Source organism: Homo sapiens, chromosome 12 (genome assembly GCF_000001405.40).
Source record: "Homo sapiens chromosome 12, GRCh38.p14 Primary Assembly".
In the NCBI taxonomy this organism is placed as follows: domain Eukaryota; kingdom Metazoa; phylum Chordata; class Mammalia; order Primates; family Hominidae; genus Homo; species Homo sapiens.
This window is the reverse complement of record NC_000012.12, coordinates 16827391-16850291: the sequence shown is the minus strand read 5'-3', so window position 1 is coordinate 16850291 and position 22901 is coordinate 16827391. Positions and strand designations below refer to the sequence as shown.

Genomic DNA, 22901 nt, shown 5'->3' with positions numbered 1-22901 from the left:
GTTTTGGAATCAAACTAGGTTGGAGGAGACCAACCGGTGTCCACTACAGAATTGATTGCTTGCTTGATGAGTGGGAAGAAACCCTTCCACATTTGGTCACAGAAATCTTCTGTGTTGATTGTTGTATAAGAGCAGAAGAAAGCCAGTTTTGTTTGTTGTTCATTTTTTCTTTTGTTTTGTGTTTTTTTCTCAGAGTTCTGAAACTGGCTGGTTTAGAAAAGTGATTTCAGCATACAATGACTTTAAATATGAACTTAATTTTCTTGGGTATATTTACTATGAGTATGTTATAAACTATTCTTAGATTTAAAGAACAGCAAACTGTACCTAAGGTAGAATGAATTCCATAGAAGGTAATAAATGCTTTTCAGAGATATTACTTCATCCAATTATTTTAAACTTAACTAAGTTTATGCATTGGTAAGAATATTTTCTTCTTTAAAAAACAAAGAAAGAGAACCAGACTATATGAATTATTAACAATGATCTAATCTAGTTATTAACCACAGGCATAATTGTACCTGGCATAATTATGCCTGTACAGACATAATTAGGGTGAATACTAATAAAATATATTGTGTTATGGGGCCAGATGAAGAGAAGGGTAAAGAGCAGAGTCAACTGTTATCTCCTGCCATTCCACTATTCTTCCGGCACATGCATAGACAAGAAAGATAAGCAAGAGAATGTGTCCAATAGCCAGGCAAAACAGGACAGAAGGGCCAGGAAAAGGGCAAATGTGAAACAAACCAACCAACAGAAACATGGCAGAGAGTGGCCAAATATCAGTAGTTAAGAGATACTGAGGAACGACTTTCTGAGGCAAATTCCTGCAGAAAATATTATTTGTATTTAGAAAGAAAAAGTATTAAACTTATAATCAAAGAGCTGAGTTCTACTCCCAGTTTTGCCATTTAGTTGGACAAATTACTTACTTCTTATATCTCTTTATTTCATCAAGAAGGAAGGGATAATAATACTTGCTCTTGTAAAATGTCATAATACAAATATGAGCACTTAACAGACTATTATGTACTATACAAATGTAAACTATTATTTTTCTTAGAGTTAATATATATTTGCTAATATAAATCCCCCAAATATGCTTAAGCATGACAGTTTTTGAAATTGGAAGTTTGATACTTCTAACTTACCATTAATATGTGGAAGATTATTTGTTCAGTGGTATAGGGAGCTCCAAAGTATCAAATTATATGCTGTAAACCATGGAAACTCATTTAAAAATAATGAGCAAGGGCTTAAACAGATTTACATACTAGAAACTTTGGGGGATGAATTGAAAATGAGCAACATTAAAAGAAAATAGATCAATCAAAATAATGAGAGAGAACAGAGGCCAGAAACAGGACAGTATCAGGTACAGAGAAAACCAATAGAAAATGCACTTAGAAATAAGAGCTCTTAATGACCATTTGTATATACAAACTGAGCATGGGACAGGGAAGTATTTAGAATGGCTTTCATTCAGTTGTGAGTTACTAAGACTTTTATCATGAATAGAAGTTGAATTTATCACAACTGGAAGATGCATTTTTTTCTTCACCTGTTGAGAGAATTATAAGATTTGTCTATTTTAGTCTGTTATTGTAGTAAATTATATTGATTGGCTTAGCAGTGCACCAACCTCTCTTTGGTCTCTATGGGTCTTTATATCTGGCTGATTCTCCTAATCTGTATACCTTACAAAAAAAAAAAACTGTGATTTTAAGTATAGTACTTTCTTGAGTTCTTTGAGATGTTCCAGCAAGTGATCAAAACTGAAAGGCCTGGGAGAACCCCTGAATTTATAGCCAGCTGGTCAGAAGTGTGAGTTTGGAAACGTGGGAGCCTCAAAGTGTTGCTGGTGTCGGCAGTAAGAGCAGTCTTGTTGGGAACTCTGCCTTTTAAACCTGCGGGGTCTGTGCTGATTCTAAGCAATTAGTGCAAAACTGAATTGCAGTATGTTCTTGGGTTTTTACGAGAGATGACCTATTATTTTTTCTTCAGATTTTTCTAGATTTCATTTGCAAATATTTGGCTTAGGAGTTTTACACTTATATCCATGAGTCAAAGTGGTATGTATTTAGGGTTTTTTGAAATACATACTCTTTTCAGTTTTTTCAAGGTTATACTAACCTCACAAAATGAGTTGGGAAGTATTTTCTTTATTTCTAGTTTCAGAAAGTTTGAGAAGATAGAATTATTTCTTCCTTGAATATTTGGCAGAACCTATTAATGAAGCCATCTGGGACTGGAGTTTCTTTGTGGGAAGGCTTTTGATTAATGATTTAATTTCTTAATGTCTATGTATATACTATTTATGTATTCTCTTCCTTCTGGAGTCACTTTTGGATGATTAGATGTTTCTAGAAATTTATCTATGTTATCTAAATGTGTAAATTTATTACTAAAAGGTTCTTCATATTATCCTATTAATATCTCTTTCATATCTTTAGAATCTGGAGATATGTCTCCATTTAGTTCTAGATATAGTTTGCTTGGGACTTCTTTCTTTTGTCATAACTAGTCTAATCTGAGGAATAATCAATTTAAGCAGTCTTTTTAAAATCAATTTTTTATTTTTATGATTCTCTTTATTATATATTTTTCTGATATATAATAATAATTTCTGACTCTATTTTTGATTTTGCCTGTTCTGTTTCTAATGCATCAGGATTGCTAGTTCATTAATTTCCAACACTTTCTGTCTCTGTCTAAAATGTTATACATAAATATATTTAAAACTTTATATATATGTATATAAACTGTGTTCCTGTGTGGCTTTAGCTGCCTTCCATGTGTTTTGTTATGTGCTAACATTTTCATTATCATTCAGCTTTTTCTACTTTCTTCTTTTACACTAATATTACTTAGTCTTGATATTCAAATAAGTAGACATATGTCTAGCTATTTTTATTTAATTCTAGCTTAATTGTCATTATTTTTACTCTTAACTATTAGATAATATTCATTTTATGACCCAGAAAAAGAACACTTTTGACAACTGTTTCATGTGTGCTTAAAACAATTGTGTATTATCCAGTTGCCAGAGAGAGCATTTACATATATATATATTATATACATATATATATATATGTCTGTGTGTGACATATATATACACACATACATACATATAGATGTATGTGTATCTGTGTATGTTTGGGGGGTGTATACATATATACACACATACACATATTTGTGTGTATATTACATATATGTATTTTATTTATATAGATAGATGGATACAGTGATAGCAATGTGTAGTCAATATGGTTTTTTTATTCAAATCTATATCTTTAATGATTTTGTGATTATCTTTCTTACTATTTATTGGGAAAAGTATTTTAAAATATCCCATTATGTTTATCCTTATATTTCCATTATGTTTAGTTCACATATTTTCACAGTTACTATTGATAATATTTTCTTGGTCAATCAAAAATTTTTACATTAAAGTCTTTATTTCCGATATAACACAACCATTTTAATTGTATTTAATTAGTATTTGCATGGCCTATGTCCTTTATTCTTTTTCTTTCTTTCTGTGTTTTAGATGTGACTCTTGTTAATATCATGCAATCTTTTAAAATCAAGTTATGTAATCTTTATTTTTAAAGTAGACACTGGTTTCTTTAAATGTAATGTAACTACTTGTTCTGTTGTATCAATTTATATGCTTCACTTAATCTATTTCCTTCTATTGCCTTCCTTTTCTTCTTTCAGATTAATTGATGTTATCATTTCATATTTTTTTTGGTAGCATGTTTACAATACTATTCTCCTGTCTTCTGGCTTCCATTATCCATTGAGAAGTTAGTCTCCAATCTTTTGAAGGTATCATTTCTCTTCCTCTAGGTGTTTTTAATTTCAATTTTTTTAACTTTGGGATTTTCTATTCCACTACACTGTGTCTAGTATGAATCTCTTTATTCTGCTGCAGAGCAGATTTGTTGACTTCATGAATCTGGATGGATACATTAGCATCTTTCATTAATTCCAGACATTCTAAGCTTTTATCTCTACCAATGTTGCTTCTACCCCATTATGTCTCTTAGCTCCTTCTAGAGCTTTGTTGGAGGCATATTAAAGTTTCTCATTCTATCTACCAAGTCTCCTATTTTTTTCAAGATGAATTCCATTTTGTTTGTTTCTCTGTATTGCCTCTATACTGTGTATACTATTTCCCATCTTCCAGGTCACTAATTATCTCTTCAGCTGTGCTTCATCTGGTGCAAATATGTGTATTAAATGTAAAATTTTAATTATTTTATATTTTTATCTCAGGAAATTATATTTGAATATTTTTCAACTCTGTTATGTAATTTTTGTTTCTTTTCATGTACCCTGGTGATATTTTAAAGCTTATCTTTTTATCTTTTTATTCTTTAAACCTTTTTTTTTTTTTTTTGAGACAGAGTCTTGCTCTGTCACCCAGGCTGGAGTGCAGTGGTGCAATCTCAGCTCACTGCAACTTCTGCCTACCAGGTTCAAGCCATTCTCCTGCCTCAGCCTCCCAGGTAGCTGGGATTACAGGTGTGTGCCACCAAACCCAGCTAATTTTTGTATTTTTTTTAGTAGAGATGGGGTTTCATCACCTTGACCACGCTCATCTCGAACTCCTGATGTCAGGTGATCCACCCACCTCGGCCTCCCAGAGTGCTGGGATTACAGGCGTGAGCCACTGCGCCCTGCCATTTAAACCTTGTAAATATAATTTTTGAAATGTTTATTTATATTGATACTTCCAATATCTGGAATATCTTTTCAAGTTTGTTTCTGTTGTTTCTCATTCAGATGCCTTTTATTCTTGATTTTTTTTTCTTTTTTGAGACAGAGTCTCGTTCTGTCGCCCGCGCTAAAGCAACCTCCGCCCCCAGTTCAAGTGATTCTCCTGCCTCAGCCTCCATAGTAGCTGAGATTACAGATGCCCGCCACCACGCCCGGCTAATTTTTGTATTTTTAGTAGAAATGGGGTTTCACCATGTTGGCCAGGCTGGTCTCGAACTCCTGACCTCAGATGATCTGCCCGCCTTGGCCTCCCGAAGTGCTGGGATTACAGGAGTGAGCCACCGTGCCCGGCCATATTCTTGATACTTAATTAGTTTTTACTTTGCCTTGTTACTGCCCTCATGAAGTTTTTCGAAGATTCAAAAGTAGAATACAGACTGAGCTTAACTCTCAAGGATTTGCATTTGCTTCTGCTGGGCACTAGGGGGTACCACCAATCTGGGAGCCCCACAAACAAAGGAAAGGCGTGAACTCTCGCTGTTGGGAACAAGGCTGCAAACCCTTGTGAGGGCCAGCCCATAATCACAACTTCTTCAGGACATTAGTTTTTTTTTTTTTCTCACTGGCTGTTTAGTGCCAAGGTACCCTTATGCTTTCTTGCAGTCATCTTCAAAAGGGGTTATAGTGTTTTGTTTCATTTATATTTGGTTTTGCTTTGGTTTGCAAAGACCTCCTCTGAAATCCCTCCTTAACATGAGAAATTCTTATATTAGACTGTCTACTTTGTAAAGGTACTGCACCTTGTTTCTGCTCACCACCACACCTGAGAAGTAGCCAAAACCAAAGCCCAGGCTAGCCCAGATCAGCCTATAATCCAGGCATTTATATTCTGGATAAGGAATATAAACACCTGGATTATAGGAATACACACACACACACACACACACACACACACACACACACACACACACACACATATATTCCTCCATGTAAAATCCCATGTATTTAACTGCTATGACTAAAACTATGTAAATTTATTTTCTCTGCAGTATAAGGCACTTTCTTAGCTTGAAAGAGCTTGCTTCTTTTTTCGAGAAAATCTATTTTATTATCTCAGCAGCTGCCATCTTCACATAGATTATTACTAAAACATTTTGTTTTACAAGGTAACTTTTCAAAGTTTTGGATGCACAGATATGTTCACTAGTATTTGGTGATCAAAGCCAAATACAACAGCTACAAGGCATTTACACACACTAGTAGAATCAAGAATTTTAACTCTATAGAAAATATGCATTTTTAAAAACAACAAAAAACATATTCTAAAATTTAGTACCTTAGCATTTTAAAGAATGGAGTCAAAATTTACATGTAAATTATGATTCATTAAAAAGTAATGAATTTTTGAGTGAGTATGATACTAGCTGGAGGAAGATGACTAAGCCAGAAGAATTACTAGATGATATTAACACTAGTAAATATAAAGAAAAAAACGCTTTGATCAGCCTAACCTCCTAATTTCCTTGATAAGTTCGAAATCATCACTTTTCTAGACCTATGGAGTCTACTTGGACTCTATGAGGCATGTTTAATGATTCCACATTATAATGTTTGAACACATTTAATTATTCCTACTCCTCTACTTTACTAACTTGATATGAGGATTTAGTGAAATTATACACTATCTCTATTTTCGCTACTTAAAAATTGAGTAGGACATAGTAATACAAGGAGATGTTCTAGAGGGATTCATTATTTAATGTTTTTAAAGTCCTACACAAATGCCAAACTCATTACACTCTGCATGCTGGCAAGTGGCTAGGGTTTAGGAGATAATGCAAGAGCACACATAAATCAAAATTTCAACATGAACGACCTTCTTTTTGGACCAGGGAATGATTAATCACATCACTGGCACTGTGTATGCAGGTTCTTGTTCAATAAGTAAGAGTTGACACCCTTAGGTTGTACCTTCAGCCCCCTCCCTTTGCTTTCACACAGCGGTGGCAGGGGGTTGGGGGAAAGCTAACAATTCTGTGTAGTAGCTGAGTGCCTTTCAAATAACAATCTGGAAAGCACCCAGACTGTCTAACTTTCAACCTCCAGGAAAAAAAGGTGGAATTGCTGTGTCATAGTAAGTTGGTCCCAGACTTCAGTTGGATTACTTCCGAAGATGATACTTAGAGTATTTTCTGTAGATATCAGTTCCATGTCTTGGTAAATGTTATACATAGAAAGTTTCCTTGGACATTTCTTACTGTCTTCTGATTTCTGCTAATACAACTACGACTCTCTTTCACAGTGTTATTTAATAGATCTTAACTTCAAAAATAAAGGAAAGCATCTATATTTGAAAACGTTAACTTCCTTTTTAGTAACTGGATTTTAGAATAAGATATTTAATCATCCAAATAAGGACTTCATTTGGGCCTTAATGATTTATACCAATTCTGCCTTTTCCTAAATTCTGGATGCTTTTTAAGAACAGTGGCTATATGTGTATAATTGATTTTGTATGTATCAATAACACAAGTCACACCTGAGAAGGCTTCATCTGTCCAAGAAAATGGGACACAATACAAATTTTATATTTAATAAAACCAATTGTGAACATTGATAAGCCACTTCTTCCTCATGTTCATAGAAGAGTGGCCTAATTAACCTCTAATCATACATCCAACACAAGATTAACTTTAAAAAGATGATGGAAATGTTTTCCTGCTTCCCTGCTTACCCAGGGCATAAATGCAGCAATAAGAGGCTCTCAATGTTCACCTTCAGCAACCAATTTAAAAGAGGGCCTGACCTGATAGAAGTGAGTGTAGTGGTTCACAGTATAATGGATATTGTGGTGTGCCACCCACAAAAAGTCCTTTATCCAAGAAAATTATCCACTCAGATTTTGGAAGTGTTGACTTCTGAAACCCATGGATATATTCCTGTGTGAGTCAGGATTCTTCAGAGAAACAGAACTGATAGTATGGAAGGATGGATGGAAAGATAGATGCCAGATAGAAAAATAGATAGATAGATAATAGTAATTGGCTCAAATGATTCATTATGGAGGCTGAGAAGTCCCATGATCTGCCATCTGCAAGCTGAAGAGTGAGGAAAGCCTATAGTGTAATTCAGTCCTAGTCCAAAAGCTTGAGAACTAAGAGTGGGGTGCCCATGGTGTAAGTCCTGGGCCCAGTCTAAATGTCAGAAAGTCAGGAGCCCTGATGTCCAGGTGCCAAAGATGAATGTCCTCGCTCAAACAGGAAAAGGAAATTACCCTTTCCTCTGCCTTTTTGTTCTTTATTTTTATTATTATTTTTTAAGAGACAGGGTCTTGCTCTGTCAGCCAGACTGGAGGGCAGTGGCATGATCATAGCTCATAGCAGCCTTCTGAGCTCAAGCAATCCTCCTGCCTCAGCCTCCTAAGTAGTTGGACTTCAGGTGCACACCATTGTCCCTGGCTAATTTTTTGGTTTTTTGTTCAGAGACAGAGTCTCGCTGTGTTGCCCAGGTTGGTCTTGAATTCCTGATCTTAAGTGATCCTCTCACTGAGGCCTTCCAAGGTGCTGCGATTACAGGCATGAGCCACCACACCTGGCCCTGCCTTTTTGTTCTACTTGGACCCCCATGGTTGGATAATGTCACTTACATTGGTGAGGGTAGATCTTCTTTATTCAGTCTATCAATTTGAATCCTAATCTCTTCCAGAAACACCCTCATAGACACAGTCAGAAATAATGTATTCAAAGCTACCTGGGAATCTCTTAGCCCAGACAAGTTGACACATCCTATTAACCAGCGCCTCCCACTTTCAGACTTGCTCTCTAACTAGAGGGAGCTGCCTTACCAAAGTTTATATGCCAAAGATTAACACCCTGGGAGCAGCCCTCATCCAGTGACTAGATGGACATTTCTTGTGTTAACTCTTAATTACCCAGTATTGTGTGTACTTGGTACAATTTGATATTCAGTAATGGAATAATACAAATACTTTTTAAATGGTTTATTAAGAACTTATTATCAGGCTCTGTGCAAAATAACTTGCAAGTATCATCAGTTTTAAGTTTCATCAATCTGAGTGAGCCTGGCATTTTTTTTGCCTACTTTTCATCAGGTGAGAAAAGTTAGCCTTATAGTTAATTAATTTGCCGAAGTTTACATCATTCTATTATTGAGTACAAGAATATCTTCCTTCATGATACCCAAATAGGTATTTTTCAAGTTAAATAAATGCTAGTCATGATAGTCACACCTAAATTGATCATTTCCTGATGTCCCTGGATTCAGGAATAAAGTTGACTCAGGCACAGGCAGAAAACCTTAGAACCCTCCTTGATTTTTCTCTTTCTCTTACATTTCATCCCAACCTGTCTGGAAATTCTGAAGTAAATAAATCCAGAATCAAATGATTCTCACTACCTGCACTATTACCATCCTGCTCCCAGCCACCATTCTATTTTGCAACATTGTTGCAATAGCCTCCTTTATCAGTCAAGATTGTCCAGAGAAACAGAATAGGCTATGTGTATATGGCTGTGTGTATATGGGTATGTGCATATATACACATTATAAACATGTATATACACATGTGTGTGCATACATCATCATATATTTATAAACATATATATACATACATATTAGGTGAGGCCCACCCACATTACTGAGGATAATCTCCATTAATTAAAGTAAACTGATTATAGGTATTAACCACATCTACAATATGTCTTCTCGGCAACATCTAGATTAGTGATTGAATAAATAAATTGGCACTATAGCTTAGACAAGTTTACATATAAAACCAACCATTGTATCTCCTACCTGGTCTCCTTGCTTCGCCTTATGTCCTACTACCCACAATCTATTTTTCAACATAGGACCACAGTGATTCTTTAAGATATAAGCCATATCATGTTATTCTTCTGCTTCAAACTTTCCAATAGCCCTTCATACTACTCTCAGTAAAACCCGAGGTCCTTACAAAGGCACCCAAGGCCTTGAATGATCTGGTTCTCTATTCTCTACGCCCTGTTTTCATCTCCTGCTATTCCGACCCTGGTCACACTCTCCTCTCTCCTGTTTTCTCAACACACCAGGTACATTCTCAATGCCTTTGAGGTATTTATTCTGTTTACAATATCCTTCCCCTAAGATGTAAACATGACTAATTTCTTTCTTCTTCAAGTTTTTATACTCTCAATGTAGTGTATTCTTACTAAGTATTTAAAATTCTACCTGATGCATTCCTTCTCTGATATTGCCTATCCCTGTATTCTGTTCTACCTTTTGTCCTCATAGCATTTAAACCTTTGTAATATAGCTGTTATATATTGACTTTGCCAGAAGAATGCATCCCCGACAAAGAAAGTAATCTTTGTTTATTGGTCTCTACACTAGCCCAAATGCCTAGACTGGTATCTGGCAAATAATAGCTATTAAATAAACATTTGTTTAATGAATGAATTTAGGCTAGTAATGTATTAATAACTTGCCAATTTACTATAATACATCTAAAAACAGCAATTTTGTATTCTCTCCCTTTCCGAACCTCACACTGCTGTATATTTTTTTATTTTTAGGTGGATAATACCATCTTTTTTCTTTTTATTTTAGCACTATTTCTACTTTTAAGGGAAATGATGTAAGAATATAATATACATGTCACACGTGTATTAACTAGTTAGAATGGAAATAAGAATGTGTAATTAATATTTTACTTTTATTTTAAGTTCAGGGACATATGCGCAGGTTTGTTACATAGGTAAACTTGTGTCATGGGCATTTGTTGTACAGATTATTTTAGCACCCAGGTATTAAACCTAGTACCTCTTAGTTATTTTTCCTGATACCCTCCCTCCTCCCACCCTCCACCCAGTAGGCCTCAATATCTGTTGTTCTCCTCTATGTGTCCACGTATTCTCAACATTTTCTCCCACTTATAAGTGAGAACATGTGGTATTTGGTTTTCTGTTTCTGTATTAGTCTGCTAAGGATAATGGCTTCCAGCTCTATCCATGTTTCTACCAAGGACGTGATCTTGTTCTTTTTATGGCTGTCTTCCATGGTGTATATGTACTACATTATCTTTATCCAGTCTACCACTGATGGGCATTTAGGTTAATTCTATGGGTATATTCCTTTGGGTATACCCAGTAATGGGATCGCTGGATTAAATGGTAGTTCTGTTCTTAGGTCTTTGAGGAATCGCCACATTGTTTTCCACAATGGTTGAACCAATTTAAGAATGTATAATTAATTAAATAATTGGATTAGGGAAATCAGGCTTCTTAGATTATAAGTGAAAAACACCCATGGACTGCCGAGGTAACCATGCCCAGGAGTATACATTTTCAAGGCTATAATTTTAGGAACTCTTTGTTTCAGGTATGGTACTTAACCTAGTATCTATTATATAATATGTTTATCAGATTGGTTTAAATGGTGATAATCTTCTTTTTCACTGACAACTCATTTTGATTGATGATAATTGTAATAGCTGGAGCTAAAGAGAAGACAAGATTTGCAAAGTTGAAGGTTACCTAATATCTTTTCCTTTATGGCTTATTTTTTCCCTTGTATCTTCATTCTCATGGTATTTCAAACTAAAAGTAGAAGCAACAAACCCATTTGATGGACTTTGTATCACAATGCAGTCTTAAGTTCTTCTTTGCCCTACAAGAAACACCTTTGGAAGATGCTCCTCAGCTTCAAATTTGAAAAAGAAAGCATCTCTCAGATTCCACAAAGTTTCTTGAGTCATGCCAACCAGGAGAAACTGAAATAACCTTGGTCTTGCAAAATTCCCTCATCTCTGTACCTCTCTGATAGGGGTTACATAGAAATATGTCTGCTATGGAGAAGATAAGTAACATCTAGGAAATAACATTTCATCCTATTCACAGGTATCTACTGTCTAATTTTTCTCTCTCTGTCACAATATATATATTTTTGAATTGATTATCATACACATAAAGTTGCTGATATTAAAAAATATAGCAATAAGAATTAAGGTCTTAAAACCTCTGGCCCACATTCACTCTCCTAGAGCTCTTATTTAGGTCTTTAAATGTGCCAGGCTTTTTCTCAACTCAGGGCCTCTGCACATCATATTTTTTTCTGGCTGAAACACTCTTCTTCATTTGGCTAAAATAATCTGACATTAGCATAGATTTAAATTTCCTAAGAAAGCCTTCTTAGACTCCTCTGCCTGGGTGCAGTCTTTTATTTTTTTTTCTTCCCAAAAACCATTTTCCTCTTTCTTATAATTGAATATTTATGCAATACAGGTGCTTGTGGAACAAATTCCTGGGTCTCTGTTGGGTATTAATTGAAACTGTTCCTATGACTGAAGGACATAAGATAATCTTGAAATCTGAAACACCCACAATGTCTTGGGAGATGATGAAGAAACGTTTTTATAAAGAGGGTAGTGTCCAGAAGAGTTTCATAATAAAATAAGTATGGTTTGTGCAGAAACATGTTACTGAGGGAATGCAGGATGGTAATTATTGAGCCTTTTTTCCCATAGGTCTGACTTGGAACCACATGAGTAACTGACACATCCTATGGTCACATGGACAGTGCCCTATGAACAGCTCTCTGTTGACCAACAAAAAGATGCTTCGTTTATAGATGGCATTTTCAAGGTGGAAACACAGCATCCTATTTGGAAGACTGCTGCACTAAGACCAGCATATGAAATGACTGATTGAAGAAGGTAAGAACAAACCAGTTCAATGAGTTTATTTGCATACCGTTTTCCTTGCTGTGATGAAAGAATTGAATGGTGATAAAAGTCCACTATGTTTGGGCCTTTACTGACCCATGAGTGGTAGCCAGTGGTTTGGCCATATGGTCAGGCAGATGGGCAATGGAAAACTGCATTAGAAAAGGGATGCCTATGTGGGGGATGGCCCTATGAAAATCACTATGGGAATTTAAGGAGCACATTAGAGAAGGAGGTACTGAAGAGAGTATTCGGTAAATGACACATGGGGAAAAGAGTGAAAAGAATATTAAGGGCAAAGGGAATAACAAGTTCAAAATTCCTAAGACAGATACATGCTTAAAATAGTCAAGGAAAGCCAGTTGGGCTGTAGCTGTTATCTTGCCAGGAAAAATAGTTGGCTCTGAGATCAGGCAGTTTGCAAAAGACTGTATTATATATGTCCTTTGTAATCCACGTTAACAAATCTGGTTTTTATCCTATAAACTGAAAAATCATTGGAGAGGTTTGAGCAGAAAGGTAAAATGACGTACTTTTTAGAGAATTTCTCTAGCTGGTAGTTGGAAAATAGATTGTGGAGGACAGTGGCACACACAGTAATGTTCACCAATATTTACTTGCCCCACGTTTCTTAGCCCCTGAAAAGTTAGAGAGTTCCCATGCCCACTCTCTCTGACAAGACCTGCAAGGTCGGGGTTTCCCAAAAACCAATGATTTGCTAAAATGACTAGCAGAACTGATGGAAATTATTATACTCATGGTTACAGTTTATTGCAGTGAAAGAGTACAGATTAAAATTAATCAAGGGAAGAGGTACATAAGGCATATTCGAGAGCTCCACATGCAGATTTTCCAGCGTCCTCTCCCAGTGTATCTTGAACAACACTGTCTTCTCCCAGAAATGATTTTTGACAATATGTATGGGGTATTGCCAACCAGGTAAGCTTACTTGAGCTTTGGAAGACAAAATTCAGCCTACAAAGTAGGAGCTTTGATTTGCTCATTCCAATGACTGGAAGAATTCCTTACAAATAATAACTACTTAATCAGTATTTGCTGAATGAATGAATTCAAGTCAAGCATAAAATTGCTGTTGAAGACAAAGATTTAAGACACAATCCTCACTATCAAAAAGCTCACATCATGCTGGAAGAAATGAGTACAATGGGCATCATATTATAATATTATGAGTGCTGTGCTGAAGGTATACACTAGCTGTTATAGAGAAACCAAAATTCATAGCATGGAGATCTGGGAACACTCCTCTATGGAGTGTTCATCTCACTGTGTTAAGTGAAATGTTGAAATTGATCATGGGGAAAAGGAAGATAACATTCTATGTAGAGGAAATAGTACATATAAATGGAAAGAGGCAAGAAAAAGTATGGAACGTTTGAGGAACTGCAAGTAGTTTGGTAAGGATCCAATAAGGATACAGGGAAAGGTAATACTGCAAAGGCATAAGAAGGCAGATCAGGAAGGGCCTTGCGTAAGCTAAAGAGTTCAGATTTTATATTTAATGAGCTGGTAAACCATTGATACCTTTAAAATAGATGAGTGACATACTAGTGTGAAATTTTGGAAAGATCATTGATAATTGTGTACAGAATAAATTAGAAAGAAATGAAGAAGACCAAAAAAGGTAAACTTTTGAAATATAATCAAATGAAATAATCAGTAACCAAAGGGAAAAACACTGAAAGTCTAAACTTAAGGGGTGCCAGGATGGTGAGGAATAATGAATGGAATTGAGAGCTATATCAGATGGAAAATTACTAGGTCAAAATGACTTGATTTGCAGTAGAGTATGGAGAATAAATCCAGGATGGCATCCAAGTGGCTATTGTCAGCAGTAGATAAATGGTGGTACCATTCACTGAAAAAAATATATATCTGTTGGCAGAGTTCAGATGAAGAGAGGCAGGAGTTTTAGTGCATAAGTAAATGCAAGAGTAAGAATTATTATTGGAGATTTTTTTTTTTTTGAGACAGGGTCACTGTTTGCCCAAACTGGAGTGCAGTGGTGTGATCTTGGCTCACTGCAACCCCAGCATCCCCAGCAGCTGGACTACAAGTGCACACCACCATGTCCAGCTAATTTGTAGAGACAGGATCTCGTCATGTTGCCCAGGCTGGTTTCAAAGTCCTGAGCTCAAGCAAGTCACCTACCTCAGCCTCCCAAAGTGCTGGGATTACAGGTATGGGCCACCATGCCCAGCCTATTATTGGATGTCTTAATTCTGAGCTAGATCATCTAAGAGTAATATTCCATAAGCAATTAATGGGAAATTTTGGAATTCAGGGCAATTCTGGTTGGAAAACAATGATAATGTGTTTTGAATATCTACAGAGTGTCAGATATTTTTAGATTGTAGGAAACCCAGAACTTCACCTTGTAGAATTTAGAAAGGTAGCTCAAGTATTATCATTATTCAATAATTTCTTATTTTCAGTGAATTTACTGCATTCTTTATATTTTTCTTGTGCTTCTTTGCATATATTGCCCCTCTTATTAATACGGATGCCCAGGGCAACATAATTTCAAAAGTTTAAGTTTCATCATTTAAAAGTTTTAGCCTTGAAATATCTTCTATTCTATTCTTTCAGGTGGGTTTATAGAAGCTGTCAAATCACACAGACATATGCACACACACACACACACACAGAAACACATACACACACACACACACACACAGAGAGAGAATGAACTAACTTCAATAGACCTGGCTGTTCATTTAGGCCACCTTAGCAATGAAAGTGAATTGCTGCATGAATGATTTGGCAGTGACAACCAGTGTCATGTCATGCCAACAGCTGAAACAAACAGGTTAATTGGATGGGATTCTAGCTCAGCACTATGGTTTTATAGTTTGACAAAATATTAATTGTACCTTTGTAGAGAGCTTTGTATATATTTTCTTAATCAAGTAAAGGAAAGAATGATTGAGATTTCCATTCCTTTAGCAGGTTCTCCATCATATCACTAAAGGCTGTGAGAGTTTCTAATGGCCGAGATTCCTGAAATATTAGGATTCACTGCCACAGATGCCTTTGGAAGTACCTATCTCAAACTCTTCCTTTTTATTTGAAATTTCCATTGTACGTTTTAAATTACAGCATAGCACCACAGTGGCAAATGGAAGGCCATGGTTCTTGGAAAAAAAATAATAAAAAGAAAGGGCCACAAGGTCAAAAGATATTTTTCTGGAGAATCTTGCAATATACCAAGTGATGCCTTGGGAAAAAAAGCAAAGCTGTTTAAAAAGACAGCAGCTGCTATAATGCTGCTTCATTACAGACCCAGTGGAGCAGAAGCAATGCATCCATTTTGCCTTTTTCTTCATTGATGATATCAATGGAGCATTAATGGAATTCTTATAGTCTACTGGTACAGTATAAATTTAGCCTGACTAAATCTTATATTGTCTATATTATAATACTTTTTTATACTAGAGAAGAGCCTCACTAGTTTCCTTTTTATATAAAAAAAGTCACAATTAGGATATATTTTCAGATCCACAATAAATAAGTCATTGATACAATTTTTTTAAAAAATGTATTTTACCATTAGGAGAATAGGTAGAATTTCAGTCTAAATTAAAACCCTTATTAACAAGCTTGTTTCACAGAAATGTCACACAGCCTTTCTCCAGTTAACAAAGTCAAAGTGCTTTTATTGTTGTTTATTGATTTCACTTATTTAATTCTCCTTTAACAGAAAAAGGTTAGTTTCTCTTTGTTCTTTTATTTTGTTAACAAAATAGGTTGTGCTTTCGAAACCAACAAATTATGCAAATTACTTAGCATTTATCTTGATTTTTAAAAAATCGTGTCCAAACTATGATCTTAGGGTTGTCCATTTATATAAGAATTTTAGGGCTAGACAGGAACCCAGATGTTTCAAGTGGATTTGCAAATGGCAAAGTGCTGCTTGTTGGATCTGCCTGTAAATCTATTTGCAAATGCAAATCCTCTTTCCAAACAGATCAGAGTTTTTTTAGGTCCAACAAAAATCCTTGAGCAAAGCAAAAATGCTGATGGAATGTACATGTGTCACTTCTGTGGATTTCTATCCAAATGCTTTTGCATCTTCCTAGTGTACTTTCTAGGATGGTAGCATAAAAGAGAATGCAATGACACTTATTTTCAGGGGATTCTGAATGCATCCTACTGCTATTTAAGGGACAGCAGAAGCTGTGGTTAATCCAAACATCTCCCTTTTTTCTGCATGAAGTGACTCAGAGCACTCCCTACTTCCGTTGTGTCCCCTTGATGCATTGATACAGCTTGAAAGGTAGTTTCCATTTGTCTACAGCTACTGAGACTCTCTCATAGTTTCCATTTGTCAGCAGCTACTGAGACTCTCCCTTTTGCATGCCTTATCTTCTCTGTTCATGACTCTCTAAAAGATCCATGTCCCCAGGATCTAGACCATAAGTGCAGCTTTCCACTGATGCCTGTATGTTAAGGTCAGTAAATCATTCTGAGTTTTACTCTCCCTTGCCCCCAATAATAATAATAGCAAACACTTTTATAGTACTGATCATGTGTATTAACTCATTTAATCTTCAGCACTACTCCATCACATGCACATGGGTCTCCTTCTCCATGTCCTGTGCTCCTCTAATATAAAAGGTTAATGGTGGGAATAAAAGGCATGGATAGCTTTTTTTGCTCTCAAATATGTCATCTTCTCTCCTTACATTTTACCGCTGCCCTTAATCAAGGCTGCACTGTTGCCATAGCCTCCTACCCGTTACCTGCCACATTGCAGACTTGCCCTCTTTGAAGTCCATTCCTCTGAGCTTTTGCTAAAATGACTACTCTGAACTGTAGACCTAACCTTGTCATTATTCTGCTTTAATGTTACTCTACCACCTACAGAATAAAGGCCATGATCCTTAGGATGGAATATAAAGCCTGTTATGCCCTGACCACATCTACTTATCTAGTTTCTTTTCTCACTACTTTCTTCTTATCCCCGAGTGACTTTTGAATTCAATCCCTTGTACACAATATTATTTCCATGCCTTTTTAAACATGTTAATATAAGTTACATGGACTTGGCTGAAATGTCTTTCATCTCCCTACCATCCATTGGCCCATTCTCCATGCCCCCAACACACACATGCATGTGCACAGACACACACATAAACACACATACACACACACATACAGACAACACACACACACACACACACACACACACACACACACACATACTCTGATACCAGGCTAGCATGTGCTCACCCTTTAAGAGCCCAGATAATGGTCATATCATCTACTGTCTTCCCCAGGGCTGTCCCCAGCCCCAGATTACAGTAAGTGGTTGATATGGTTTTGGTTCCCACCCAAATCTCATCTCAAATCCCCACTTGTTAAGGGCAGGACCTGGTGGAAGGTGATTGGATCATGGGGGCGGTTTTCCCCATGCTGTTCTCATGATAGTGAGTGAGTTCTCACAAGATCTAACGGTTTTATAAGGGCTCTTACCCCTTTGCTCATTCACTCTTCTCTCTCTTGCCACCATGTGAAGAAGCTTTCTTTCTGCTTGGTCTTCCGCCATGATTATAAGTTTCCTGAGGCCTCCCCAGCAATGCAGAACTGTAAGTCAATGAAATCTTTTTCCTTTATAAATTACCCAGGCATTGGTATTTATTTAAAGCAGTGTGAAAACGGACTAATACAGTGAGTTTCCTCTGTGTTCCCTTAGTACATATGCAAATATTTAAATTTCCATTTAAAGATTTGCCTTCCTCATTACATTGTGAGCTCTTTAAGGGCAGAATCTGTGTCATTCTTTCCTTCCCCACAGCTCTCAACACATGTTTATTGAAGTAAACTAAATTCCCACATGTATGTACCTGATAACAAATAGTTCTCAGAGGCTTTGACCCACAAAGAGGAATTTGTGAATGAGAAACAAGAGGTCTATAGCTAGGGGTAAACAAGATACTTTGAGCCAATGGTATCTTTTCCTCATGTCTTCACAACATCTTAGTAGATTATTTAGTCAGTTTGTGAATAAGGCTGATTAGAAGTGAAAGTTGAGACTATAACTACCCAGGCAAAATTATAATGAAAAAGAAAAATAGGGAAAACAATCTGAAATCTGCCGATTAGAAGACTAGTATCCTGAGGAAGAGTTGAAAAGTGCAGATTTATTTTTAAGTAAGCAACCCTGAGGCTAGGTTTAACATGATGCCAAAATAACTTGTGTGTTCAATCAAAATAATATTCTGTTCATCTGTAAAAAATCATTTAAACCGATATTTTCTTATAATAAAGAAAAAAACAAGCAATTGATTGAATTGTTTATCTTTGAACTCCCTTGATGAGCCACCAAGGAACCAAAGCCTGAGTGTATTTATTTAGAGAGGCAGGTGCTTTTATTCTCTTGTAATGCAGAGATCAGTGCAATAAGATGGAGTTGCTCAGGGGCAATGGGAGAGAACGATAATTGTAGATATGGTATTTAAATGTTATGTATTTAAGATAAAAATACTGTACTGAGTTTATGATTTGGGGAAAGTTTCCAAGGCATTTAACATAGTAAGAACTTTTTCCATCATCCTTGCTAAGGCTGAATTGCAATGTTATGATCTTTTGAGCCCCAAAAGTAAATAATTGTGTCCACAGATTTTTGATGCTTTAATCTCATGTGTTTCATTAGACAGTGAATATTTACTTAAAATAAACCCCTGCCATTTTCCAACTTGACTCACAAATTGGAAAAAAAAAGTTATATATGCTTTTATTATCTTTAAGCCTACTTTAAAAGAGAGACTTAAATTTAGAAATACCAGAATGTATTTACATGTTCGTAATTCAAATCTGACTGGCTGCAAATACTTATTTCCAAATTATATCAATGATATTTAAATAGATTCTAATTGAAATGTAATGATGGGGTAATAATCATAATGCAACTTGCTTAAAAAATTTATGACTATGTTCAAATATTACTGTCTTATAAATTACTTCTCTTATAAACGTTATGCCAAAGTTTTGACACCCATTTAAAATTCAGTTTTTTAGAGATTTAAGCATTATCAGGAAATAAGAATACTCTCTTCTTGCATAAATGTTAAATAAAATAACTTGTTTCCCTTAAAGATCCAAGAAATTTAAATAGACAGCATTTTATAAACATGACTTATGCTAGTTAACAATCATGTCTTTTTTTAAATAAAATTCCAAAAGTTATTTGAATCCAGGAATGTTTGCTTCTCTCATTTTTCCAAAGCGATATTAGACTAATTTTTGAAGGTCAAAGTTGATCCATCACGTAGTTCTGAATATTAAAGGTAAAACTAATAGAAGTAAACATTCTATGGTAATAAAATGTATAGGTGAGAATTGAACAATGAGATCACATGGACACAGGAAGGGGAACATCACACTCTGGGGACTGCTGTGGGGTGGGGGGAGGGGGGAGGGATAGCATTGGGAGATATACCTAATACTAGATGATGAGTTAGTGGGTGCAGTGCGCCAGCATGGCACATGTATACATATGTAACTAACCTGCACAATGTGCACATGTACCCTAAAACTTAAAGTATAATAATAAAAGAAAAAAATTAAACTGAAACTGAAAAAAAAAATACACACTGGCCAAACGTCTTAAATTTATTTTCTAAGTTATTATTAACTCCTCCACATGAAATAGTAGTCAGTTATACCACAGGAGTTTTACTTAAGTAAAACTCTGAAGTAGGATCTTACTGAAGTAGGATCGTTAACAACAGAGTAAGCTCTGCTAACTTACTGGTAGACATAATCTTTGGTTTTGATGGTTTCTTACCCATTTTTTTTAGCCGTTTCACAGTACGTATCTACAGAGCAAATATCACTAAATGTCTTTTTTTACCTGTAAGTGGTCCCTGTTCTCCAGAAAACACGAAATTGTCCAACAAACACATGAGTAAACAAAGGGCAGACATTTTGTGGAGCAGAAATAGCTCTGAAATGCCTGTTTTAGTGCCCTCTCAATCATGAGAAATATTAAATAGCTGGCAGAAATAATTTTGAGATACATTAAAATACATCTATTCCACAAGAAAATGCTTTAAAAATACATGGCACAATTAAAAGTGTTGAATTTTTTTTTAAAGATCAATGCTATAATCCAAATTCTTTATTAATTTCTGAAATGTAGACAAAATTAAAATACCTGATTTTTATCTTACCAGGAATAATGTAGTATTTCCAAAAGATTCATTTGCATTAATTAAAAAAATTAAAACCACACAGTTTACTAAACTGCAAACCTACTGGTACAAAAGAACAACTCCATCAATGGCTGCTTGAAAAAGATTGCAGCTATTATAAGCAAATTACAGGGCAAACGTAATATTTTTAAATGCAACATCCAAAAATAATGACTTATTTCTCAGTACAAGAGAAATAACACGTCTCCTACACCAACCCCCAGAGTACTATGTGTTCAAAAACAAAAGTTCAGGAACTAAGTACTTCAGTGACACCTTTACCTTAAGGATCAGAATTGGAGTTATACTTGAGGTCTTAGGTGAAATGAGTTTGACGGATTAGGTTCGGTTACTGGCTGTCAGTGCACTACATAAAAAACACCACACATACAGAGCTTAGTGAAACTAGCTGTTTTCTGCACAGGAAAATTCCTTGATAGAGTTAGCATGAAGACAAATGAACTGTTATCCCCCAAGAAAGGTGTCCCTTTAGGTTAGGATTGAGGTGAGCAATACCAAACAGTAAGAGCACTTGACTTCCCATGGCTGACAGACTCATTACCTTTGTAAATATCGAGGCTTAGCTTTGAATCCTGGAACTCTTCTTTGAGTTTCTGGAGAGTGCTAGTAACTAACCAATTACCAAAACAATAAAGACATTAAAATGGGAGAAGACAAGAGTAGTGTAAACAAATTTCCTTCATTTTCCACCATCAAACAAAGTTGTTTAAATTTTCTCTCTCCTTTATTTTTACATCCTTATCCCTTCAATTTATCCAAAGCACTTAAAATATATTCTTCTTATTCACCATAATAGGTGTCCTGTGATATACCGAGTTTTATTATTATTATTATTATTAACAGGCAAGAAAACGAGATCCTAAGCAGGATTAACTCCAGAAGAGCAATGGCATGACTCAAAATTTGTATTTGTCAGTGTCCAAAACCACTGCTCTTCCGCAAGTCTTTTTCATATACATTATTTCTCTGTAATCTATTTCACTTATGATAGCTATACATTTGGTGTCACGTATATTAGGTATTTTCCCTTATTCCTTTTATACTATTTTTTTCTCTTTGTACATTCTAATCAATTTATTCACATGGTCAAACACTAACAGAGGATATTTATGAAAATTTCTATTTAAAAACTTTAAACATCTAATACGTTCTCAATTATTTTCTTTATACAGGCATACTTCAGAAATATTGTGGGTTCAGTCCCAAACCACGACAGTAAAGTGAATATTGCAATAAATTGAGTCACACAGGCTTTTTGGTTTCCTACACATATAAAAATTATGTTTACACTATACTATAATATATTAAGTGTGCAATAGTATTATGTCTAAAATTCAATGTACATAACTTCGTTAAACATACTTTATTGCTAAAAATGCTAACAATCATCTGAACGTTCAGCAAGTCATAACCTTTTTGTTGGCGGAGGATCTTGCCTCAATTTTAATGGCTGCTTACTAATCGGGGTGGTGGTTGCTAAAGGTTGGAGTGGCTGTGGCAATTTCTTAAAATAAGACAACAATGAGGTTTGCTGCATTGACTGACATCTCATAATGAAAGATTTCTCTGTAGCATGCAGTGCTGTTTGATAGCATTTTACCCCACAGTAGAATTTCATTCAAAGTTGGGGTTAATCCTATCACACCCTGCCACTGCTTCATTAACTAAATTTATGTAATATTCTAAATCCTTTGTTGTCATCTCAACAATGTTAATAGCATCTTCACCAAGAGTAGCTTCCATCTCAAAAAAAAAAAACATTTTCTTTGCTCATCCATACAAAATAACTCCTATCCATTAAAATTTTATTATGATATTGCAGCAATTCAGTCACAACTTAAGGCTCCACTGCTAATTCTAGTTCTCTTGCCATTTCTACCACATCAGCAGTTCTTTCTTCAAATAAAGTCTTCAGTCCCTTTGGGTATATACCCAGTAATGGGATTGCTGGGTTGAATGGTAATTCTGCCTCTAGGTTTTTGAGGAATCACCACATTGTCTTTATGTGGCTGAACTAATTTACACTCCCAGCAACAGTGTAAAAGTGTTCCTTTTCCTCCACAACCTCACCAGCATCTGTAGTTTTATGAGTTTTGAATAATAGCCATTCTGACTGGTGTAAGATGGTATCTCATTGTGATTTGGATTTGTATTTCATTCTGTTATAAAATGCATGCATGCCTATTTTCATAGCAGCACTATTCACAATAGCAAAGACA

At 35.5% G+C, this 22901-nt stretch overlaps 1 long non-coding RNA gene across 1 annotated transcript in view; it reads left to right on the top strand.

The window, feature by feature from the left end:
- The window catches only part of LOC105369677 (uncharacterized), a 200713-nt gene that overhangs the window by 138342 nt on the left and 39470 nt on the right, over window positions 1-22901 (top strand). Inside the window, exon 5 of the long non-coding RNA XR_931397.3 lies at window positions 12251-12439. This is a non-coding gene — a long non-coding RNA (uncharacterized LOC105369677). The remainder of the gene's footprint in view (window positions 1-12250; window positions 12440-22901) is intronic.